The following is a 27,096-nucleotide window of genomic DNA, read 5'->3' as shown; positions in this document are numbered from 1 at the left end:
ACAGCTAGTAGAAACCTCAAGCAGAGGGAGTGGGTGAGCTAATCTCATGTCTAAGATAAGACATGGATTGACCAACTCCCCAAGACCCAGAAATCTTCATCCCAGGAGAATATGCTTGGGAGGATCTCCCAGCTCCCAGGTGCATGACATCTTCTTGTTTCACATTTATCTAGTTAAGATCTCTGCTTCTTCCCACTTGTGTTAAATCCAATCTCCTTCTATCATGTCTTAAACCTTCATGCTTGTTCCTCTGTCCCAGGGTGACAATAACAGAACATGCTAAGTATAGACACTTAATCTCTTGTTTGGTTTAAAGATTATATCCTGAACTCTTTATTTAACCCTCATGGGACAACACCACAACTTCCAAATGTCTCTGTTTTTCATTGCCCTATTTCCTTGCCACAGATGTGACACTCAGTGATAATGGTTGCTGTGACAAGTAACATCACCGTATACATTTCGTGAACATTTAGCACTTGCCAAACACCTTATTTTATCTCACAGAATCCTCAGGAGAACACTATGAAGTTGCTGCTACTAGGGTAATCGTATCTCCAACTCTTGACGTTCCCTTCCAAGTGAAGACCCATTAACATAACACTCCCAGCCACCCTCCACTGCCTCACTCTAGCCTCGGGGAAAAGTGACTGATTTGACAGTAGAGCATGGATGGAGACATGCGGACATCTCTTCCTTCTCTTGAGAGGGAACATGCTGTGCTCTGCTCCTGCAAGGAGAGGCCTGTCCTGGCAGAGAGGTCTGGCTGTGAAGTTCACTTGTCCATAAAGACACTACATTCTTTTATGTCAGCTTTAACAATAATAAAGGCGGCATGTTGACCTTCACTGGTCTTACCCTTTGTTATATTTCCGGTGAGCTCACAATCTTGTTGGACAAGGGAGGAATTATTATTTACCATAATTTTCCCCTCTCCTGCACACACAAAAATTCAATAGCTGCTATCACTATACCTATTTTACAGATGAAGAAACTGAGCCTTAGAGAGGTTAAGTAATTTGTCCAAGTTCACATGACTAATGAGTGACAGTGTCTGAACTTGACCTGAGTCTAATCCAAATCCTATATGCTTAACCACTGCACTATACTGCTTCTCCTGTGCTTTCTTTATCCAGCAAGAGTTATATCATGCTAGTGCCATACCTTCTCAGTGAAAGAAAGGAAAGAAACAAGAAACTCTATGAACCCATCACAGACTTTGATCTATACCCTAGACTGGTCCCTGGTGGTGACAGGGCCTCTTGGAAAGAACCCCAGGCATCCCTTTTGAGAATATTTCAGAGGGGGTCACCCCCCACCTGATATCTTTTATCTAATTCATAATGACAATTTTGGGATTAAAAGACACACCGAAAATATCATAAAAGGAGAAAGCAGATATAGAACAAGCATCTGGTGAGCTTGTTAGGTTAGCACAATAGCTACTGGGGGCAGCCAGCTCATCTGGCATAGGTACCATTCAACATATGTTTAATGGCTGGCACTTCATAAATACTAGATCATAACCAAAGCCCAAGAATGGTTCTGGTTTTGTTTTGTTTTGTGTTGTTTTGTTTTTCTAGTTGGGGCAGGCAGAGTCATGATTAGTTCACAAAGGTTTCTGCAGTTTGCCTATTTGATATATATGAAGTCAAATCTATAAATGAATGTTAAAAAGCACAGTTTTTGTTTATTTATTTTTAATTAATTAACTTTTTATTATACTTTAAGTTCTGGGGTACATGTGCAGAATGTGCAGGTTTGTTACATAGGTATACATATGCCATGGTGGTTTGCTGCACCCATCAACCTGTCACTACATTAGGTATTCCTTCTAATGCTATCCCTCCCCTAGCCCCCAACCCCCCAACAGGCCCCAGTGTGTGATGTTCCCTTCCTTGTGTCCATGCGTTCTCATTGTTCAACTCCCACTTATGAGTGAGAACATGTGGTGTTTGGTTTTCTGTTCCTGTGTTAGTTTGCTGAGAATGATGGTTTCCAGCTTCATCCATGTCCCTGCAAAGGACATGAACCCATCCTTTTTTATGGCTACATAGTATGCCATGGTGTATATGTGCCACATTTTCTTTATCCAGTCTATCATTGATGGGCATTTGGGTTGGTTCCAAGTCTTTGCTATTGTGAATAGAAGAACACAGTTTTTAAAGGCTTTATCCAATCCATCTTTGTAGCATATTGAGGGATGGCTTTAAATACAACTTGAAGGGCTTAGAAGGAGAACGCTCCTCATCTTTTACCCAGTGGCATGCCACACTCCACTCATCTTTCCCTGTCCCTTAAAACTACAGCAGCAGACATCTGGAAGTGACTAAAATAGCAATGACTCCTAGCCCAGCCAAGGTTCTATTCAATTTCGATATCAGCACGTGCTGCTTTCCCCATGGGAGCACTCTCCCACCCCAAAATCTGTGACAGAGAAACCAGAGTCAGAGCCAAGTTCCCAGTGAGCACAGAAAATTTCTGTCCAACTCTGGGGTGCCATGCTCGTGTGTTGTCTATTAAGACTCTAATTTCTGTTTGATTGCTGCAGCTGGTCCAGTCCATAATCACCAACACATTTCCACAAGAAAGACTGTTTTTATTATGGTTACCAGGACTCAATTCATGCATTTACTTTTCTAACTAACACTTATTGAGAACTTACTATTTGCCCAATATACATAGATGGATTAGGAGACAGGATTTCAGAGGTCCCCAAAAGGCTCTGCATGCAAAACATCTCCTTCATAATTATTTGTTGCCTGAAATTATATTAAAACTGCATCCCTTTGGTGTTTCTCATGATTACCAAGAAATGTTCACCATGAAAGATAACACTCTATCCCCAGGATGATCATTGAATTTCTTCATTCTTAGTAACTCTTTTTAATTTGTAATAGCTGCCAGACCATTATTTTGAAAGAATGTATAAAGTAAAACTGGTAGGAAAGGAAGATATAATTTTTTAAGCATATCTGCTGAGGGTATGTGAGGGGAGGTGACACTGCAAGATTCAAGTCTGGGTGTATTTCTACTTTTCTCTGAGTTGTTGCTGGTTATTTACACCTTAGCATGAACGAAGGTTTCAAGTGTGGATGAAAGACAAGGACTGGCACTCAACATTTCATGGAGTAGGACGCAACACAGGAAAGAAACAAGGAGTGAAAAGGCTAATTATGCCCAGAATAAACCTCAACTAACGTCACAAGAACAGCAGCCAGCCCGGGCCTTGTGAGCTGCATGCTGACAGCAGCGCATGGCCACACTCCTCCTCTCCAGCCAGACCCATTAGGCTTCTGCCTAATACTTTGCTCATCTCTGAGTTTTTTTTATTTTATTTTCCTTTTGCTCCAACCCAGATTCATAGACATGAAACAGGTGCTCTATGGTTCTTAACAGAGACAGTGTGGAGTACAAAGAGGAAGCTGAGCTGAGCCTAGGCAGATCTAATTTTCAGCAGAGGGAATCAAGTTGTGTTAAGGACTGTAGACAGTGATCTCTGCCCCTCAAGCAGCTGTGAATGAGGCAGTTCCTTTGGGTATCCATCCCTCCATCCTTGCATTGGTACTCTTGTCCCCCTGCCTCCTGCCTACACAGGGGACATGGCTGCTGCCCCACTTCCACTTTCTTGCTCTGGCTACAAGTTCCTTCCTTCTGTTTCCTTGTCCCTCCAACAAATGGGAATTTTCATGAGCTAAGTATCCTGAAGAGGCATTTAAAGAAGAATCTACTATGTGCCAGAGCCATGCTAATACTTTTTTTTTTTTTTTTTTGAGACAGAGTCTCACCGTGTCACCCAGGCTGGAGTGCAGTGGCGCAATTTCGGCTCACTGCAAGCTCCGCCTCCTGGGTTCATGCCATTCTTCTGACTCAGCCTCCCGAGTAGCTGGGACTACAGGCACCCGCCACCACGCCCAGCTAATTTTTTGTATTTTTAGTAGAGACGGGGTTTCACCATGTTAGCCAGGATGGTCTCGATCTCCTGACCTTGTGATCCACCCACCTCGGCCTCCCAAAGTGCTGGGATTACAGGTGTGAGCCACCACGCCCAGCCGAGATGTGCTAATACTTTACACACATAATCTCATGTATTTTTTATACAAGCCTGGTAGCTAGGTATTAATACTGCTGTTTTATACATGGCAACTACAAGGTTCAGGATGATTGTCTAATATCTCATAGGTCGTATGTGGCAGGATTCAAACCCAGGTTTGTTGGAATCTCATGCCTAGTTTTTGTCATTATGCTACACTGCATTTTTAACTCTTCTGGCTTCTATAGAAAGTACTTCCATTTGCCTTTTGTGCCATGGCCCACGACTGACACTAACAGTGGGAATTCTAGACCCTATGCCCAATGCCATTACACATCTCACTCCACTTGCATGTCTCATAGGAAGCATGAACATAGCACATTCAAGAAAATTCCCCAAACCTGCTCCTTCCTCCTATCTCAGGTGCGCTCCGCTGCCTATAGGATAAAGTCTGACTTGAGCATAATGAAATTCTCTCCCTGATCAGGCTCTTTTTTGAATTTTTTTTTTTTTTTTTAGTATGACAGGCTCACCTCTTGCTGCCCTCCTTTCTCCCTAAATATGAACTTTGCTGAATCACTCTTGGGTGTTGAGAGCATAGCACTATCTCATGCCTCCATGCCTTTGTGCATGCCGATCTCTCTGCTTGGAATTCGCTTCCCAATTGCCTGCCCCATTCTAGAGCCTGCTCTATTCCTACTCTTTCTTTAAAGCTGGTTCAAGATACTTGTAAAGCCTTTGTTGACCTCTCAACCACAGCCAGTTGTGATAGGGGTAATGAATGCCCCTTCCTTTCTCTCAGCATTTCCTTCAGAGGCACGGAGCTTCACTTGATGCAATATGCCTCAGCTTTTCTCTGTCCCTATACTCACTGCACACCAGGAAAGGCATAGTGATTTCTGTTGGTAAACTGGGAAAGAATTAACTGGGCTGGCCCAGCCCAAACATATCTTTCTTCTTCTAGGAAATAAGTTGCCCTAGAGGTAAAATGGCTAATTTGGGGTTCTAAATCAGCAAGACCATTTGGCTAAGAATTCCGGATTGTTCCTCCAATTCGATTTCCATTAATAATGAATGTGGAAAAATTTTTTGCCCATCTGCCTCTTCTTTTTAAACAAATTATTCAGAACTCACATGGGAAATAGAGGTTCTCTTTACTGGGCTCTCTCAAGAGTCCAGTATCTGAATGCCAGTTAACCCGGACACTGAACCCTTATTCCATTATGTTCCCAAGTGCCTAAGACATATGTACATCAGCCTCAGATTGTCATTTTGCATGGCAATTGTTTGTTTGCATATCCAATTAGATCATAATGTCCCTGTGGGCAGGGAATATATGTTAGTTGTCTTTGTATTCCCAACATCTGACTTCAATTTATATTTGTGGAGTGATTGAATGAACAAAAAAAAATTGCTTCTGGTAATCATTAGCAATCCTCAGTTAGAATAAGCTCCTTTAAATTGTCATGTACACCAACTTTTTTTATTCTTCTGCTCTCTGCTACCCATTTTAATAAAATAGAGTAAATCATCCAAGACAGTAACGTGGCAATAATAATCTTATGTTGGGATTTAATGAATCAAAACACCAAAGAAGTGTCTGAGAGACACTGAAACTGGAAAAACTCTTTAATTTTTCCTACTGTCTAATTGCATAAAACTCTTAACAAAATGAGACAGTCTCAGTGCTATAAAATGAGCTTTTATGTATAATTTCTTTCCACAAAGAAAAAAAAGTTGTCTTCTTTCATTTCGCAAGGAGGAGATTAAAAGCATATTAGAGGGTTTTGTTGGCTGGTTGACTTCTGGAGTTATAAATTTGCTGCTGGTTCTTTAAAATATTCAGAGTGAAGCTTTGTGAATTCATACATGAAACGAGACGTGTGTGGTCATCTGGACACAGCCTATACTGGGAGATGCCTTGGTATTATGTATTTAAAAAGGAGTTTTTGAACAAATAAAATAATTTAAAATGTAAAGAATATATTGCAGCTACTTGGAAAAAAATGAATGTAGATTTACATAATCTACTTGTCACCACAGATGTATTAGATTTATGATTTGGTGCTATGTGTTTAAATTATTGACTATAATTTAATGCATTGTGAAGTTCTAACCTAACTCAATGGCTCATCCTTTAATCTATTAGTTTGGCAGCCAATATTTAGATATAGAAAATTCCTGCCAGGTAAATTTAGCTCTTCCAACCTTAGTCTCTAACCTAGTCATATCGAAAGATTCTTCCTTGATCTCCTCACAGCCATCTTGCCCGTCTACAGTCTGTTGATTACCTCAAAATCCAAGTCTGATATGTTACTACCCACCTACCCCCCACTTAAGTTACTTTTAATTGCTCTGAGAAAAAAAAAAAATAATTAGTGCAGTCTAGATTTTAGAGGATCCCACGTGCTTTGGTTCCCTTCTGTCTCTCCAATGCCTTGTGTTCTGATGTCCCTTCACATTCTGAGCTCTCTCGTTTTACTCAGTCCCCTGAATAAGGCCACCTCTTATCATCACACGTTCTCTGTAATTGATGTTCTTACTGCTGAGAATATCTCTCCCTTCTTTCAAATTCAGAGGTTGTCCTGACTCCTTAGAGCCCAATTTGAACATTACTTTCTCAGAGAAAAATATTTTCTTTTATCTGTCTCCTTCCTTTAGCTCCTAAACCACATCAGGTTGTCTTCTATAAGTTCTCTTAACACTATATAGCTTTCCTTCATAGCACTTGGCACAATTACAGTTGGATTTATTTTTGTGATTATTTGACTACTCCCTCGGACTTTATGTTCCTGAGGACAGAGACCTTGGGTTTTCTCATCTTTGCTTAATGCCTGGCACCTGGCAAATGCCCAACAAATGTTTACTATGTTAATGAAAAGAAGACTCATTTCTATGGTCACTTCCAAAGAAGGAATGCTGTTTTCATATTGTAAGTATAGCATTAGGATCATATGCATCCCTAATATTTGCAAAAGAAAAGCTCACTTTTGGTTTGGCCAAGTGTAGCCTGAGGGAGGTGATGAAAACTAAAATGTGTTACTAAAGCAAAAAAAAAAAAAAAAAAAAAAGGCATCGCTAGGACTTCAGACCTTAAGAAATCAGTTCCCCAAGTTTAAAATACCAAGGAAGCTAAAAGCAGACCCAGGAATCTCTCTCGTCACAAGCTAGAGCTGTGTCATAAAGTCACTCAGGAGTAGCAAATTAAGAAGCTTACAAAGCAAAAGAAGTGATCTAGGACCTAGAATAGAACATGAAATGCATCTTCTTTTAATCAAACTTAATAAGCCTGTTGAACCAAAGAGACCCACACTGGACATTGAGGAAGTGAAGTAAATAAGGGACAGAGCCCTTTGATACTGCCAGTCCCAGCGTTACATGCCTGAGCAGCAGCCCACCCTGCTCAGCAAAGCCATTGGAGGAATCTCACTACATCCACAGATGAGAGGGTCCTCACCCCCTCCAAAGTTATGATCTCTGCTACTAGGGAAAGAGACGTATCTCTAGGTGGATTTGAAAATTTATAACTCTAAATTTGTCCACAAGAGGCTTAGCAGTCTCGCTTGGGGTCATGCCACCGAAGAATTATTCATGATCTAGAAGTTCAGCCTCTGCTGACCCAGCACGGAGGTAGGCCCAGACGATGGATGTGGGAAACAGGTCATTCTGGCTGCATTTGAAACCTGTTGAAACTAAATAACAGCAACAACAGCAATATGAACAGCTATGATCTAAAGTGGAGGAGCCCAGTCACATTTTCAAGGTAGCAGCTGGGCGTGCTGCTCAGCTCTCCTTTGAGAGAGAGCCTCCAGATGCCACCTCCTTGGACCCACCAGAGTGGACCAAACTGTTTTCACATTGAGGTCACACAAACCCCAACCACTACCTAGATAATGACTGAGCATGATGGGAAATACTGGAGCTGGGTTATTGCTAACCAATATGGAATTTATCTAATGGACATACTTTGTTTAGAGACTCACCGTTAGCCTGGCCAAGACTCTTTCAAAACTGTAGTACAATCTGAGACTCTTCCTAAATCCTTCCTTTTCTCTCTCCTTTCACAGGTATAGGGCCTGCATTACCATCTAAAAGCTCTTCCTGTCTACTCTTGTTCACTCTCTCCTTTATCCTTCACACGCCTCCCTCCCCCAATATCTCCTGCATGTAACATAATTTTGATGTCTACACCTCAGGAAACCTAAAATGATTCACCTTTTCAAATAAAGATGCATTCGAACCACTGAAATAGTTCTAAAACAAAAGATGTGTTATTCCACGTGTGAATCACAAAATATCTCCTCTACCTGTGTCCAGTGCAATAAGAGATGAAGGAACTTAAGAGAACTGAGATATGTTTGAGAGAAGACACCTTTACTTTGGAACATTATTACTGAAAAGAGTTGTTGATGTTGATTAAAGAACTTATCTCCTTTTTATTAACATTCTATATGTGTCTAACCTGTCTCCTTTAAGGACAAACCTCCAAGATGGGATGTGAGGCAGGCAGGGCAGAAGGAATAATCTGGGATGATATATTCCATCTTAAACAGTTGTTATGAGGATAAAATTTAATGTATGTACCTACTTAACACATAATAGGTGTTAAGTCTCCTCTCCTGCCCATTGTAGGATATCTTCTATCTCCCACATCTATGATAATCAGCAGAAAAGGGGAGGCAAAGTAGACATACCATTTATCCATCAGCAATGTACAAGATGCTCTCAAGGTGAAAAGCAGAATGCATTTCCCTTTACTCACAACTTAAACCTTTACCCATATGATCTCACTGTCTGATATCAGCTGAAGCTCCTTCCAAATTCCACTTTAGTTCCTCCTTCTTTCTCCTCACAAGAATATTAAAACTGTGTAGCCTTTTCTTCTTTATCATTTCTATATCACCCTTGTCTCTCCAGGTATCTTGCCAACAAAGACATCCTCTTCCTACTGACTTAAACTCATTCTTCTGCTTCTATTAATTTACATGATACAATTTCTGCTTATTTGATTCATTGCATACATAATAATCTCTCTGTTTCTTACTATTTTAATAAAACAGATTTCCAGCACCATCAGTAAGATGTATCATTATGCACTCAATAAGAATATTTTAAAAATACAGTGTTTCATAAATGGTAAATTCTGACTTTGAAAAGCCCTGAGACTAGCTGATCATGCATGTTGTGTATGGTGTTTGTCTACTATTAACTGAAGAGAATTTGGATGAGTTGTGATATATACATCTAAGTCACAGAGCACTGCGCTTTCATGGGTATGGAGAGGAGGTTCCAAGGTTCCCAGATGAAGCTCTACAGATTGGTAGTTCCTCACAACCTCCCCTACCTTACCCCAAAGATTTTCTGATCCTTCCCATCCAATAGGCTCCTGTACCATAAGAGATCATGCTTGTGTTTATCTTACATTATTCTGTAAGTGCAGATCTTAAATCTATTCTGCTTCTGTTCACCTGCCTCTATGTGGAATAACTTACCTCTATATAGTCTGTCCAAGGTCAGCTGATCCTGTTGCTGGGTGTGCTGCTCAGATCTCCTTTGAGAGACAGCCTCCAGATGCCATCTCTTTGGATCCAAGAGAGTGGATCCAAATGTTTTCATATTGAGGTCACACACACCCCAAACTCTACCTAGATAATGATAGCCTAGATAACGGCTCTAGCTTAAATAATGGCATTTTTCAAAAGCCCAGGGATGCCTGCTTTGGCACCCCTGGGCTTTGCAAAAGTCAGGATTATGAATTTTTAAGGAGTTTAAAAACATTTTGTCAATGATTTCCTCCATGGTGCCATGATAGATGGAATACTGGGTTGTATACTGGGTTGTATACTTAGATCATCTGACAATACAGAGTGAGCACCTCTATGAAGTCATTGTTCAGAGGATCAAGCAAAGAACTCATGCAAATATACGATTTTTATTGTCTATTTCAAAAATAAATTAATTTTAAAAACTAAAGATAGAACTTTGCTAACCAACCAAAGCAAAATTAATAATAACAATTTTCAAAGTATGATTTTCCATTATGAATATTTTAATAAAGCATAATATTTAAATGATACAAAAAGAATTTAGGAAAAAAAAACATGAAAGCTCTCATTCTATTTGAGAAGCTGATTTGGGAATTACAAGATTATTATGAAAGATTAAAATGGGGCCCAAATGCTTCAACTCCATTTCCCCTTGTGAAATAGATATATCATGAAACAGAGTCAGTAAATGTTCCAGGAGCAGTCAGTGAGAATGTTGCTGGAAATTACAACAGGAAAATTACGGGCGGAATACAGGACATGAAGAGAACACTAGATTAGGAGCCTCTTAACAACTATAAGACCCTGAACATGCTTCAGTAACTCAAAATTTCTGTAACTTTATAAGGTAAGATATAGGATGGAAGATATCGAAGAGCACCTCTATTTCTAAAATTCTCTTATTTTTGTGAATTTCCAGTATAAACCTGTAGCCATCTCAGTGGCTCCTAGTAGCCTATGTAGAGGCAGCTTGTCCTAGGCTTCAGAGTCAGACAGAGATGTCAGGCAGACCAGATGAGCATCCCAGCCTCTCCACTTGCCATCCACGGAACTTGGAGGAAAATACCAAATCCTACTAAAACTCAGTCTCTCCATCTGTAAATTAGGAATAGTCATATCTACCTTACTGGACTAGGAAGAGGAATAGGTCATAATATAAATAGAATAATGTGCCAGTTAGTAAGCTGTTTCAGCTTCAGACCCATCCTTGTATATGCTGCTTTGTGATGCTGGAGACGGGACTTGGGGAGCTACTTTTTTCCTTTGAGATCGGATTCCTTGCAGATTTTTCCTATAGGAGGCACTTAGACAAAAAGTCAGGAGAAGGGATTTGCTCTCTCCTGAATGCATGGCTCCAGCAATGCCTCTTCACTCTGGTAACGGTATTTGGTTCCATTTCCAGTCTGTTCGAGCACACTCAAAACCAATCTCATCACACCTCTTGGGGCCATGCAGCGCCCTTCCTCCAAGCCCCTAGATTCTAATAACCCCACTTCCTCTTTTGTTCTCCCAACAGTAGGGGTAAAAACTGGTCTGTGTTACCTGTTACCATTTCTATGTTACCTCAATGTCCCCTTTTGCCTTTTTAGTCACCCAATACCTGTTTAATTTCTTATATTAAATTATCTCTGTCAAGATATCTGTGCCTTCCATTTCTTGATGCATACTGAAACAAGTAGTATAAATCACTATAAATATATGAGTATAATATTCATAAATAAATAGAAATATCATAGCACTAAGCACAGTGCCTGCCCATATAAGTACTTAGTCTACATTAATTTTGGTATTATTCACAAAAATGATAATAAAAACAAAAGCAATGTAAGTAGAAATTTAGATTCTGTCTTCTGAGAAACGTCTGGTTAACCTGAGGTAACACATACAGGTCCTTGAGCTTGGCTAGATTTTATTTTTCCTTCCTTGTACTCTTTCCTTATTGTCCAATTCTAGGACATCTCTGCCCATTCTATGGGAGTTCTTAAAGGGACAGCCCACGGCTGTCTGTGGCGTCTGATCTCTACCATCTATGCACGATACTCAAGACAATCTGTGCTCAGGCAGCCTCTTCCCTTCTGCCGTGGAGGACACCACGTCCTGACCAAGACAGCATCTCATTTGAATCTATAATGTCTTATTACCAGTGACTACTTGGCTTTATTCTTTTGGATTTTTACTGTGAAACCAAATCTCCTATATTTTAAATTAAGCTTTGTACATTTTTTTCTTGTTGTTATCTTCAGTTTAATAATTAAAGGTCCTTCCCTCTCTCTTATTGATGTACTTGTGAAATTATTTTGACCCTAGTATAGAGAATGTGCTCAATTATTAGCTTATTGTAGGATGGGCTGAATTCCTTTTTCTTACAAAAATGTAAAAGCAAAGTGTCCCTTAATATGAATCAACCTATCTTTCCTGCTGAATTTAGAATATAATCATTGCCAAAACAAAAGACAAATCTTTCAAACTTCAAAAGTCATGAAAACTTGTATATCATATAAAATTCCTTAAAGCAGTATTATTTTCTTTTAAATAATAATGTTATTCAATGAACAATTTGATAATGACTATATAATCCTATTGCTTCCTTTCCTTGAATCTTTCAAGAACTCCTCATTAAGGTCAGAATACTTTTATTTACTTATGTATTTACTTCTTTGTTATAATAAAAGTCCTTTTACTAGCTTGCCACTATCCACATACATTACCGTGTGTAATACCACCAGCCCTGCATCCCAATTCGGTTTCCTAATAGCTGTTTGCCTTTGGTCAAGTTATGGTTCTTGTAATAAGGAATATTTAGAAATTGAGCATTCCTAATAAAAAAAAATCTAAACTCTTAAATGCTCCAAGATATGAAATGTTTCGAGCACCGATATGATGCCACAAGTGAAAAATTCCACACCTCACCTCACGTGACAGGTCACAGTCAAAACACCATCAAATCTTTGTTTCATGAACAAGGCTACTTAAAATATTGGATAAAATCACTTTCAGGCTATATGTACAGGTGTATATGAAACTAAATGAATGTTGTGTTTAGACTTCAATGTCATCTTCAAGATATCTCATTATGTATACGGAAATATGCCAAAATCTGAAAAAATTTGAAATATGAAACACTTCTGGTCTCAAGCATTTTGGATAAGGAATACTCAGCCTGTACTGTGTGCTACATACTCTGAGCTATCTGCTATTTCATGCATTATCTCACTTGATGCTTTTTGAGGTAGATACTATTATTTTCTCCATTTCACATATAAGAACACTCGAGCTTAGTCTCAGATATAAATACCCACCATGAAGTGGGTTGTGAAGTGAGGGACCTTACTTACCAATCACAGTTCACTGCATGATGCAGACATTGGAGAAATACAGCTATTAAAATCACTACTAACCCCAGCAATGATGCATACCAAATTAATGACTGATACCAGCATGCAGCAAGCCTGTAAGTGAATAAAATCAGTGTAATGGCTTTCTTATATTTTCTTGACCTTTAAAATTTCTCTCATTGCCTTAGTATTGTTTTCAGGCAGGCCTTGAAATAACTATCATAGAACACTCTGGTTTCTGTATCCCCTGCTGACCGACAAATCATATTTCACCAAACTGGATGTGAGAGAGCTGTCAAGGGCAGTGATACAATCTTGGGAAGCACACTCATCATCCAAACCCTTTCCCTCTACTTTCCCCTGAATTTGCCTCTCAGACCCTCTTGTCCACTCATTAGTAACTCTCTTACAGCAACTTTTCTGTTTGTCTTCCTCAACTGAGTCACTAACTTTCAAATCTCAAATGGACATTTTTGCCCAAAATTTTCCATTTCAGTGCATTGGGAAATTCAGAAGTATTTAAACTTCAGAAATCTATATATAAAAATCAAAAGACCTTTTGTTCATATTTTTAGTCCTTCCTTTCTCTGCTATGCCTTAAAAAACAGAAAAAGTCAGTGATCTTCGTCCTTGTTCTTATTAAGCAGACTGGAAGTTTGTCATTTTGCTAATCAGAGGAAGAGAATGAGAAATTAAAACAGTGGTAAAGGGACATAGTAATGCATTATTTGAAATTTGAAAGTGAGAGAGATAAATAAAGGGAGGGATAAAGGGAGGGGAGGAGGAAGAGGTGGAAGAAGTTAGAAGTGGTAGAAAAGAGAAATAAAATCTAGAAGTGATAGAAAAGAGAGGTAAAATCCAACTCAGAGGCCATCTCTTCTGTAAAACCCAGACCCGCCTAAGAAGAAATAAGAACCACTTGCTCAGTTCCCCAGGATCTTTTTTCCTTTTTTTAAATTTTGCTAACTTTGTGCACAGCATCTTGTATACTGGTTGCTTACGTGTCTTCCTTCTAATATCACGAGTACCCTGAAGTCAAGAATCATGTCACATTCATCTTTGTAAAACCTATGCAAGTTTATAATTCAGTTTAAAAAATGCTGAATTGAAATGGAAAGTCCAACTGACAGGGGTGATTGAAGATTACAAATGCCACATATTTGTTGCTATCATTGTGCCTCATGCTAACTCAATAGCTTGCTTTGTTCATTCGGAGATGGGAAACTTTTCTTAAGGTTTGCATGTTCTGGTACTCCTCACATAAACTGGTCCTGTGGTTCTTACTTCAAGGCTCTATGAATCATCCCCCTCACTCAGGATTTTCAGTCAATGAGATTCATTTAGCCTGTAGTGGATGAGGACTAGATTACGGGCTGAAAAGATGTAGCAGACCTGATCTCTTCTTTGGGAAACTCACAATTTAAGGAGGTTAAAAGTAGAAATCAAAATGTTTGTGAGATATACATATTAACACTATAAACAGGCAGTCTGCTTTTCCCTCCTTCATTCTGCAATCTGTATAAAATTTTATTCTCATTGTCTAGCCTCCAAAAATTACTTGAATTATCAATTCCTCAATTTCAACCTGGCTACTTTCCCACGCATATGCTTCCAGACATTTCTAGTCTAGTCACTACTTAAAAAAAGAATATGTGGAATTACATTGTTGTCGAAGACTTGAATCATATAGTCCAAAATGGTTTTTCAATGGACAGAAATAACTCCTTTCCATAGTAATAATCTCTACCTAAGGGAGCTCAAGGAGTAATGCTCATTTGAATACTACAATGGAATAATACTAATTTTAGTATTATTTAAAAGTTAGAATTTAGTATTTCTTAGTTTTCAATATTTAGCTTTATTTAGTACTAACTATTGAGTAATACTAAATAGGAGGCTTGTTTAGGAAGTAAAGAGGTTAATAGGAAGTGTAAAAGTTTTAATTCCCTAGGAATCCAACAAGATTTTCCAAAAAGCACATTTGCAAACTCTTCCTTTATTCTTTTCCAAAGTCAGTGATAAGAATATTTGCTTCAAGTCTTTGAACTCTGAGCTCACCTTTATCCAGTAGTCTATATTCCCATATAATCATATTACCATTGTCCTAAATCATAGTCACATTTATATAAAGGGACATGTTTCTTTCTTTCTTTCTTTCTTTCTCTTTCTTTCTTTCTTTCTCTCTCTCTCTCTCTCTCTCTCTCCCTCCCTCCCTCCCTCCCTCTCTCTCTCTCTCTTTCTTTCTTTCTTTCCTTTCTTTCTTAAAGGGAGCAGGGACGTCTTTCTTAAGACATTCAGCCTGACCCAGGAGAGGAGGCCGTGGGTTTCAGAATAAAATAAACTAAATAAAAATCCATCCTCCCACCAATACACTTGTGTGGAGACACTTACATTGAAGTCGTACAACACACCAAAGTTTGCTGCCGATGCCTCTTCGGCTCTGGGAACGGTTTTCCTAGGTAAACTGCCATATGGCAAACCCCAGAGGTACTGTATGAAGAAGCAAAGAAAGCAGTGAACAATTAGAAACAAAGTCTGAGCCACACATGTGATCACAAATGGTTTTGTTTAAAAGCCCTTCTGAAACATTTTTATGGGGACTCTTTGGGTCTCCATGTGGGGTCCCATTTTCTGGGAATCGACTACTAAATCCAGAGGTAAGAACAAAGGGAGTGCAAAGGACCCTGCATTCCAAGTTCAGGGGACCACCAGCAGTCAGGTCAACCACATTCCCCAGAGGGCTTTCTGAGGACCCCATTGCCACCACCACCACCAAACTGTTCTGACTTGGAAGTCTGGAAAGGAGAGAGGTAGCCTTTTGAGTCACATAGGACTCAACAAAACAATCTTACCCACACTTTCATAAGAGAATACCCCTTAGGAGTGAGGGTGGAGGGAGATTCTGTCCTTCATGTCAAGAGAGAGAACTCAAGGAAATCCAATCATGTAATTTGTGGGTGTCTGCAACGTGAGAACACTTGCACCCTGATTATGGTGTCTGCTTCATCACTAATTCAGGACTGCTGCCTCAAATTCATGCTACCAGATTGGAAGAGAAAAACGGTAGGGAGAATAGTACTGGGAAGAGTGGGCCAGTGAGAGGGCAAGAATAGGGTCATAGGAAGGTGCCTTGGTGAGAACTGGAAAGAGCACCTTTCTAGCCCCCATAGCTTACCAAGCAGATGTTGCTTCTTCTGTGAGATGGAAACTTCCCTCCTAAAGCTGGGAACAGAAGATGAATATGGCTTGAAGCCTGGGTGCAGAGCTTGACTGAACAAGGGCTGGACATCAATCTCTGCTCACTCCCTGTGCACAAGCTGCACAACCTCCCAAAGTAGGCCTTTGGCCCATCTGGCTTCCTGGTCCGAACAGAATAGAAGGTGGGTTCCAGACACACTGTCTCGCCCCAAAGTTCGGGGGCACAGAGGACAAAGGAGATCAAGGTCTCAGGCTTGCCCAGGGACACAGGACCTTGGGGCAAAAGGGCATTTGCCTTGGAGGAATACTGAGTGAGCCCGTCGGGTAGAGGCAGCTGAAAAATACAGCGTTGCTGCCAGGAGATGACTGCCCTGGCCTCTGGTGGTTCTGCAAAGTCAGCATGCAGGGTGTCCATTCTCTTGTTCTTTTGCTGGAGTTGGTAATCATTGCCCAGAAAACAGGATGCCCCTCAGCACCTAATACAACCTATAAAAGGGTATCCAAAGACAGAATGCTTCCTAGCTCTTGGAATACATCCAACCTAACACGTAGGCACTCCATCCACTACATAGCAGACATTCTGTAATTTCGTATTATTCAAATAAATCAGCAACAGCCTTTCATTTTCTCCACATGGAGGCAGCATGGTGTGGGGGAAAGAATAAATGCTGCTGATAAAACTCCATTTATACCTGCATCTGACACTAAGTAACGTCATAGTAGCCAGTGATGGAATGGAGGAGTTTCAGATTTCCTTAGAAAGGTAAGCAAAAAAAAAAAAAAAAAAAAAAGCTGGGGTTAATTTGAAATAGATAAAATACACACATTCAGCTTCATTACCTGAAAGTGTGCACTTGGGAAATAAACTACACAGGACCTCTGATCTTTGGTCACTGTCTTCTACGAGCCAGACAACTTTAGAAGCTCTGGAATTATCTCAAGGATTATAAAACTAGTGGATTAAAGTGCAAAATCTTAGAGAAAGGGATTGAATCATGGGTTCTAGTCCTAGATCAGCTTAATAAAAAAATATATTCCAAGATGTTAGCTAAGTCACATCAGCATTATGTGACTCCATTTACATGTTTTAAATGGGTGAAGAAAATGTCTTCTACAGTCTACATCATAAATTTGTTGTGACGCACAGTAAGTAAAAGAAGTGAAAGTGCTTTGTACTATTAAAAGCTCAAATCTCTTTATGAATGTAAAGCATTATTATTATTATTATGTTAATAGGAGTCTTAGTATAGAAACTGGCACTGATTTGAAGCTATCGGGATAAAAAGTCACCCAAAACCACCAAATTTTGGCCACTGTCAATGCTGTATGGACCAAATTTGCTTTGAAATACTGGTCCTAAAAGGTCCTTTGTAGGTTAACTAAAACCTAATCCAACTTCTGTAAGGTAAGCATTCAAAGGTGTCAGAATCATTTAACTTCATATGAGTGAAGGCTCTGACCTCAGTCTAGCTTTTTGGCCTCAGCTGACCCTTTCCCCACATTAGCTCAGGGCTTTGTCTTCTTTGATTTGGACCCTCTATGTGTTTTAGTTTCTGACTTTGGACCTCATCATCCCATCCCACTCTCATCCCATCCCACTATTTGTGTGTGTGTGTGTGTGTGTGTGTGTTGTGGGCATTATCTTACTTTGTATCTTAGGGGGAAAATGTTCATTTTGTGTTTCTTCAGTATAGAAAATCTGGAGGCTTTGAGTTGCATTAAGGAAGCATTTCTTTCAAAGCTAACTTGGCAAAATAAAGAAATACAACTCACAAGGTGTCAAAGTCTTCCTCTTGAACAATAGTTTTTAACATTTAGGAACAGGGACCCCCTTGGGAAACTGAAAGAAGCCATGAAACTTTCCACATAAAAATACACATTTAAACATACATGTGAAATTATACATAAGTTATATAATTTCAAGAGGCTTACACCCCCTTTAGTGCAAGGATTGGGAGCTTTGGCCCATGGGCACCATTTTGAAGGTTAATCTCATTACAAATCCTATGACTCTAAGACGTGAAAATAGCCAGTTAATTATTCTACTTTAAAGAAGAGATAAATACTTTTCTAGGAGAAACATTTTTCAGCATGTTTTGTAAACTGGAAGTCAGATCTCACCTCTGGCAACATGATGAGGCTAAATGTCAGGATAAAGAGAACCATATTGACTCCATACATCCATCTCAAGAAGAGGAAGTATGAGGCCACTGAGGAGCCAAACTGACCTATTACAAAGAAAATAAAAAGTTTGAAGAGAGATCAAAGCAAACAAACAAACAAAAAGAGCTTTGTCTTGGTTGCCTTCAAAATGAATCCATTAATTGTGAGGCATTGGTCCTTTTTATATTTATAGGCTATAGCATTCTTTTCTCTCTATTCAGGAAGAGAAAATGTTAATCATGATGGAAGCATTCCCTGTCATGTGGAATGTAGAAGGTACGTAGAATGCAGTTATGCAGACTGCATGTGACCTACCCCATCATAGTCCATCCAAGGGAAAGCTGCCTTTTGCTGAGCAGCCATGATTGCCACCTGCAGAGTGCATTTTATTTCTTGAGTTAATACTGATAACTGAGCAAATATATGTAAAGGTAACTACAGTGCCTAGCTAGTAATTAGCTATCACTATAATTATAATTACTGCTATTTTCTCTTCCTTTTCTCAGGCAAACAATGTTCTTCTCAAAAAGAGTTTACCACATCCTTTACGGATAGTTATCTTACAAGCAGTTCTGTGCTGTTTCCCCCATTACTGGAATTTTACAGGGATGGTATAAAAGCTGAAATTCATTCATTCACTCCACACATCTTATGCCAGAAATTATCTTAGATGTGAAGCACAATGTCATAGATACGGGTGCTGCTATAATAGAACTTACATTTTAGTGAGGTATGGATACAACAAATATGTAAGATACATAGAAAGATACAGAGATAGAGATACAGACATAGACATTAGCTATAGATGTAGATGACAGGAGATAGAGATAGAGATAATAGCAGGTCCTACAGGAGGGAAGGGAAAGTATTGAAAGGGGTAGCTTTAGAAAGTTTTGTCAAGGAAAGAACATCAGAGATGTCATCTAAGCAGAGATCTGAAGTTTGAAGAAAAGACAGCAACATGCTGAGCTGGGGAAGAGCAGCTCAAGCAGAGGAAAAAGCCAGAACAAAGATCCTAAGGGGCAAGGGCTTGGGACTACTGAGGAATAAAACTCAGGCCTGTGCAGTTGGAGTACATGAATGAGGGAAAGTGGTGACAGATAAGGATGGAGAGGCCAAACCACAGTGTGTGGGGCCTCTCAACCCATGGTAAAGAGTGAGAATTTTATTTAAAATGTAAGGAGAAGTCATTGACAGGTGTTAAGCATTAGGGCCAGAGGAAGGGGTGATGAGCATGACTTTTAAAAAACCACTTCAGCTTTGGGGAATGAATAGGCAATAGGCAAGAATGTTCAGTCAACTCACCCCTGCCCCCAGAAGTGAAAAGTAAAGTGATTGGTTAATTCTCATTGGGAGAGAGAGAAAAAAAAAGCACCCTCTTAAAGCAGAGAGTGGAAGAAGAAAAATGAAGAGGTTAAGTCTTAGGTTCAGATTTCATAGATTTACAAAAGCAAAAGTTTCTTTGACGGTCATTTAAGATTCAGCACCAAGTTGCTAGCTTTCCCAATCTTCCAAATTATCATTGTCAGTTGCCCAAGAAAAAACAACAAACACCTTCAGTCCCTGGCTGCATCAGCCCATGTGTTCTGTCCCATTCAGCTAACATTCAGCTAAACATCTCTATTGACCAATGATTTTCTGGAGCCTTCTGGCTTTGAAACATTATCAGTGGGGAAGCATTATCAATGGAAAAGGAAGGTTCATGGGTAGCAAATTCCAGCCTCTACTTACTTAGATGAGGCCGGCCTCACAGGACAGTAACACCTCTATTTCTGGACCTTTGTCTATTCTTTTTTTGTTTTGTTTTGAGATGGAGTTTTGCCCTTGTCACCCAGGTTGGAGTGCAGTGGCGCAATCTTGGCTCACTGTAACCTCTGCTTTACAGTTTCAAGCAATTCTCCTGCCTCAGCCTCCTGAGTAGCTGGGATTACAGGCACCCACCACCACACCTGGCTAATTTTTGTAATTTTAGTGGAAACAGGGTTTCACCATGTTGGCCAGGCTAGTCTTCAACTCCTGACCTCGTGATCCACCCGCCTCAGCCTCCCAAAGTGCTGGGATTACAGGAGTGAGCCACTGCACCTGGCCCCTTTGTCTATTCTTTACCTACCATCTTTCTTATTCCTGTAAAACAGTGGCAGGTTTTTTTTTAGAAACTTAAGAAGTCAATCTTTAAATGGATATTTTGGAAAAAATCAATGATTTTGAAGTCAATATTTTTCTTTATGCTCACAAGAGAATTTGGATTGATTTCACATTGCCGAGGGGTGCAGAGTTCTATAAGGTTTCTAAGGGTGTGTGGTTTTGATACACAACCCCACCCCACCCTACCTCAGCCCAGCCCAGCACTGTCACCAGGTGCACTGGTCTGCTTCTCCTAGGACATCTGATCACCCACTTGGCTCCCAGTGACTTCATACCATTTCATGGCCGTTATCTACATTCTCTGGTAACGACTACCTGAGGGCTGCTCAGCCAGGTTCACTCATCATGTTTTATTGAAGGCAGTGGACTTACAGTTTGTTACTCATTACAGTTACTCATTTACTGGAGGAAAGCCTTGGTCACTAGGTATCAATGTAAGTTTTTCCCTGGAATCGCATGTAAGATCTTCCAGTATGAAATCCCGCATATAGGATACTAACCCACCATTCCTTTCTTCCTTCCTCACTTTTTATGCTTTTGTTTTTCTAATTATTGCCACGGCCCATCCTCTCAGCACCTACACACAATCCCTGACAAATGAATTTCTTGCGTGTAGGGTACAAATATACTTAAATGCAAAAGACAGAAGTGAATTAAGATGTTTCAGAAAGTATCCCCTCCTCCAACATGCTTAAGCATCATAATGAAATATACTTTAGAGTCCAAAACTTCCAAACTCCAGTTCTCAGATTTGAGAGTGGCTTCACAACTATTTTATTTGGAGGTTGAGTCTTTACAGAATCTTAAGTGTAAAGAAAATGAATTGCAGGCCAATAGATTTCATTAAAACTAGAACGATTATAGGAAAGACCCAGACACAGGTGGAAGAGACTAAGAAATCCAGAAGACAAAGTTTCTTCCACACTAGACCTATCAATAGCAGAGGAGAAAACACAGTAACAAAACAAATGAAGATCTTAAAGTAGAGAAAATGAAACAACAAGTTGTCATAAAACTCCAGTTTTTCCTGTCTCAACACAAAAACAAAAAAGAAGAAATCTTCCCTCTTTATCCCTTTTATCTAGTGGTTCTATCCTACCGGATGTTGTTAACTAAAACTGATGTTCACTAAAAAGAAATGCCTGATTAGTGTGACTAAAAGAGCATAAATGAAAAGAATAGCAATTTTAACATACTTAATCTCTCAGTGTAAGGAAGCAAAATGAGTAATAATAATAATAATAGCTAGTATATCTTGATGGTCAGTTATGTGTTCCAAGAACTTTATCAGCATCAACTCATTATGCTGCCACTAGAACTTAATGAGGTTAAGTATTATTAGTCCCACTATGAATCAGGAAACAAAAACTTTAACACAGTTGTTGACTGAATCAAAAGTTGATTAATAATAGGTAACATTTAGTGAATCACTGTTTCAAACACCAATTTGATCTATATGTATTAACTTATTTAATGATCATCAAATCCCTACGAAATGGGAACTATTGTTTTCCCATTTTACAGAGACTTAGATCTATAGGCTACATAGCTAGTAAACAAGGAAGCCAGGCTTCTAAACCAGGCAGTCTTGAGCTACAGGTGTTTGACTCCAAATCTAGATCTCTCTTAACCACACTGCTATATGGCCCTTTAAGTAAAACATAGTTCAATTAATTTTCTTAAGACTATGATATATACAATAAACATGCAATGAATATGTGTTTCTGAAACAATAGGTATAGATAATATCCATCAATCAGCTAAAGCCAGTCAGATTCACAAATTTGATGCCCATAATGACCAATTCTTATTTCTTTAATCAGACTGATAAATGCTGCTTCCATAGTAAATTATTAATGTATAAAAACAGAGTCTCAGCCAGGCACGGTGGCTCACTCCTGTAATCCCAGCACTTTGGGAGGCTGAGCCAGGTGGATCACGAGGTCAGGAGTTCAAGACCTGCCTGGTCAACATGTTGAAACCCCGTCTCTACTAAAAATACAAAAATTAGCTGGGCATAGTGGCAGGAGCCTGTAATCCCACCTACTCAGGAGGCTGAGTCAGGAGAATCACTTGAACCCAGGAGGCAGAGGTTTGCAGTGAGCCGAGATTGCGCCACTGCACTCCAGCCTGGGCAACAGAGCAAGACTCTGTCTCAAAAAACAAACAAACAAACAAACAACAACAACAACCAAAAAACAGAGTCTCTGATACGTATTAAACTGAGGCTTTATGCTTAAGCATATTCTTGTTCCTGAATATTCTTGTTTCTTTCAAATTAAAGTTAAAATTTCAACTCTCTTTCTGGTTGTTTATTATTAAGGCAAAGTAATTTGTAGTCTGTCATAACACATCATTTCCTCTTGAATAGATGGGTAATAAGACAAGCAGATAAATATGAGTATTTCTAAATGGGAAAAGACCAATTAAATGACCTGCTGTGTGACTACAATATAAATACCATCATGTTAGGCTAGAATGTGAAGCACAATTTTTTCGAACTATTTAGGGGTAGGGAATTAAATGTGACAAATTTGATTTGTATTTTCTAGAATCCTTAGGGCAGCAAGGAAACATAAGGTTTAAGCCCTGTGCTTTGGCTTGCCTATCCAAAGCTATTTCCTGTCTGAAAAAAAATAGGTTTCTGAAACTATAATTTTGATGATGCAATCTACTATTAGGAAAAAGTAGATTTTGATCCTGAGAAAAATTTGTAATCCCCAGCTAGAAATACATTCAATTATTTAATTTATGGTCTTAATAATAATGTTGGCATCACAATGGGTATAGATTATATTTCCTGGGGGTACAAACATGCAGTTGCTTCAGAAAAATACACAGTTCAATGAGATGAATAAGATGTGTCCACAGGAGCAACCATCGAGTTTTAGGCATGATCCCCTTAAGGCTGACGTGACAGTAAAACCCCACAGTATTCCCAAGTGATGCATAACGTCACAGTATCCTCTGTGGCAGGAATTATCAAATCTATTTTTTAAGTGAAACAGAGTTGGGAGTCATCAGGTGAGAATCCGCTTCACACTAATAAAGAGATCTAGGTCTTACTGGAATCAAGATGGAAACAGTATGAATTTTAGACTCTAATTTGGGTCCCGCTCTTGATTCTGCAAATTATTGGACAGAGCTTTGGGAAAACTCAGTAAAGGCTGTTAATTTTGGACTCCTTTAGCCACATTTTAAAAATACTTATTTGGTATTATCTAGATACTGAGCAGAGAGTGGGGAAAAGTGGATTAGAAAGGCTGTTGGGAATGGAAGGCAACAGCTCCTCTTTTGACCATGCCACTTACTACAATCCACAATTACCGTCATTATTTATTTGCTTATATTATATTCTGTCTTCCCCATCCAAGCATACATACATTAACACATTTGGATGTAAGATCAATGAGGGTAGAGTCTCTGCTGTCTTTGGCAGTAGCAATAGTGCCTAGAAACATGTTAGGCATCCACTATTTGCTCAGTTAATCAATAATGTCAGGCTTATTCTGAGGATTAAATAAGATATATATTAGATGATTCTGATGTCGAAATGGAATACAATGATACTTCTGAACCTTTTGTAAGATTAAATGGCCATTTATTTAAGAGAAAAGCATTTATATCCGTTTTATAATTAAATATGTATTCTATAAGTAGGGTACACACTTAACCAACTTTATTTCAAAAAGAATTTGAGAAGGCAATTATATAGTCCCCTCTTAGTATAAATCTGTTTTGCATTCAAATTTTTGAGGATTTATCAATCAAAAGTATGATTAATGAATTTCACATGCCTACATATACATGTAAAACTGACTGTAACTTACACATCATAGAATGTTGAGCTGGAAATGATCTTGTATAGTGACTAGTTAAACCCAAGATGTTGTAGATATTGTAGTAGCCCCAAATGTGGAAACAGAACCAGAGATTTCAACAGATTGTCCAAACTACAGAGGTGGTAGGGGTCAAAAAGTCCTCAACTCAGAAAATCCATTGCATGTCCTATTTCTTCCCATTTTGCATTAAGTTCAGTTTCAAAGGTGATCACAGATACATGCTTTACCTATATTTAGTAGGGTACTTTTTATAAGATAGTCCAATCCAGTGCTCTAATAATATATTCTTACATAGGTTTCATATTTTTTCAACTAATACTATAGCCCAAAGCCTCATGGTTATCATTAAAATCAGTACATTAAGCATCCTATAGAATACAAAACATATAATTAAATAAATCACTCACTAAAAAGTAAATACATGAGAAAATGAAAAATAATTCCTTGATAACGATCAAGAAAATCTATAACTACTCATCCTGCCATCGGCCTCGTAGAATACTTTTTATGAACTGGTGCAAAACATATTTAAAAAGAAAAAGTATGTAAAACCTTCCCTAAAGGAGAAAGCAGCCTAACACATGGAAAAGCATACGTTTTGAACCCAGACAGATTTTGCCTTATATTTCAGCTCTGCTACTAATTCTGGGACAGTTATTTAATCACAACTATAAAATAGGAAGGTTAATGTGCACATTGCAGGAACACTGAAGATTAAATGAAACAATGTTTGTAGAGCATCTGACTCATGGTGGTACTCAATAAATGGTGGTGTGGTGAATATTGATAAAATAAAAAATAAAGCTCAGTTCTTCACAGTTGAGACAAAGCACCATTAACAGTGAAGAAGTCATGACAAACTAATCAAATCATAAATTATATATGGAAAGAAAAATAATCTACATTTGCCTCAATTTTCCAGCGTGGCTTTCCAAATTTACTAGAAGAAGAGAAGAAGAGAGGAGATAACTGAAGGTTATTATTGGATAGCTCTCAATCTGTCTTTTCTACTGTGACACTCATGATGGATGGTGGTCATATGTGTAACTCTTGCTGCATGCAATTTCTGGCAATAAAAATAATTCTGTCTGTTTTTGTTTCACTGGCTATAGCCTATTGGAACACAAATGAGCATGATATTACTATTAGGATAGGCTGGAACCTGCTCTAGTGTGCTTTAAAAATAATTTTCAAATGTATATATTTACCTATCATTAATTACAAATTTCTTGGGATTTATCTAACAACTGATCAAGACTCAGCCCTACAATTTTATAAATTAGTAGACTGAGGTCCAGAGGAGTTAAATGACTGGCTAGAAGTCAAACAGCTAATCTGCAGCAAAGCAAAGACCAAATTCAGAGTTCTTACTATATATATTGTATCAGGACCGTAATGCTCCAAATGGCCTTTTGTTTTTCAGTGCCTCTCAACCTACCACATTTGAGCTGTACAGTTGAAACCTAAGAAATCCATGATGTCTTCTCTTTTTTGATGTATCTAAATTCCTTTCTTTTTTTCCTAGATTGGTAGACATTTAGCGAGTTTGTCTGTAATTTTATTCAATACATATTTATTAAGTGCCAAGTGGAATGCAGGAGTGAACAAAACTAAATTTCCCATCTATTGGGAGAAATGAACATAAAATGAATTAAGATTACATCAAAAAATTAAATTAAAGATATAGCATTTTAGATAGCGGTAAGTGTTAAGGAGGAAATTAAAGCAAGAGAGAAATGGCACTGGGAATGTGTGGAAGGGGATACAATTAATGAGCTGATGTATTTTAATTCATTGCCACTTAATAATTCCCATCTGATATTGAGAGACAGGGAACCGAGGGTTAGCCACTCCTAAAACATGCCCAATCATGTCAGCAAGCTATCCATCAGCTGTGTTATCTCCCTATGGAGCCTCCATTTTAATTATACAACGCCACACTTAACCAGCAGGAAAACCTGCCTCCAATCTAGAGAGGAATGGATGGAAATCAGATCCTAGTTGAAACCGTTAGAAACCAGAATATGGAAAGATTGTGCTCAAAATTGTTTCAAATGTTATCCCTTTTTTTAGATTATTATTTTAAAAAACAATTTACTATTTTTATTTACAATATTTTAAAATGTTTACTTGCCTTATTCTAAGCCTAAAGCACTAAACTAAATAGGTTTTTGATTGGCTATATTCTCCTTCCTTCCTTCCTTCCTTCCTTCCTATGAATATTCTACAAAATAAAGGCACAATGTGAATATTCAGATAGCAAGCTCCTGGATGACTATTGCTTATTCTACTTCAGAGATTTGAAAATGAGGTTTTAAGACTTCGTTTTTTTTCTTTCTTTCTTTCTTTTTTTTTTTTTTTGAAACAGAGTCTGGCTGTGTCACCCAGGTTGGAGTGCAGTAGTGTGATCTCGGCTCACTGCAACCTCCGCCTCTCGGGTTCAAGTGATTCTCTTGCTTCAGCTTCCTGAGTAGCTGGGACTACAGGCTTTTGCACCAGGCCTGGCTAATTTTTTGTACTTTTATTTTTATTTTTTATTTTTTTTATTTTTTTTTTTTTGTGAGACGGAGTCTCGCTCTGTCGCCCAGGCTGGAGTGCAGTGGCGGGATCTCGGCTCACTGCAAGCTCCGCCTCCTGGGTTCACGCCATTCTCCTGCCTCAGCCTCCCAAGTAGCTGGGACTACAGGCGCCCGCCACTACGCCCGGCTAATTTTTTGTATTTTTAGTAGAGACGGGGTTTCACCGTTTTAGCCGGGATGGTCTCGATCTCCTGACCTCGTGATCCGCCCGCCTCGGCCTCCCAAAGTGCTGGGATTACAGGCGTGAGCCACCGC

At 38.9% G+C, this 27,096-nt stretch overlaps 1 protein-coding gene across 2 annotated transcripts in view; it reads right to left on the bottom strand.

Moving 5' to 3' along the window:
- TMC1 (transmembrane channel like 1) overlaps positions 1-27,096 on the bottom strand; it is a 316,690-nt gene that overhangs the window by 68,108 nt on the left and 221,486 nt on the right. For both annotated transcript variants that reach the window (NM_138691.3, XM_017014256.2), the window contains 2 exons: positions 18,234-18,340; positions 15,306-15,404 (listed from right to left, as the gene is read on the bottom strand). In NM_138691.3, coding sequence (NP_619636.2) covers positions 15,306-15,404; positions 18,234-18,340 — 206 coding nt within the window. The remainder of the gene's footprint in view (positions 1-15,305; positions 15,405-18,233; positions 18,341-27,096) is intronic.

This window comes from Homo sapiens, chromosome 9 (genome assembly GCF_000001405.40).
Source record: "Homo sapiens chromosome 9, GRCh38.p14 Primary Assembly".
Classification (NCBI taxonomy): Eukaryota; Metazoa; Chordata; class Mammalia; order Primates; family Hominidae; genus Homo; species Homo sapiens.
Note: the sequence above shows the minus strand (reverse complement) of the source record. Positions and strands in the feature narration are given on the sequence as shown.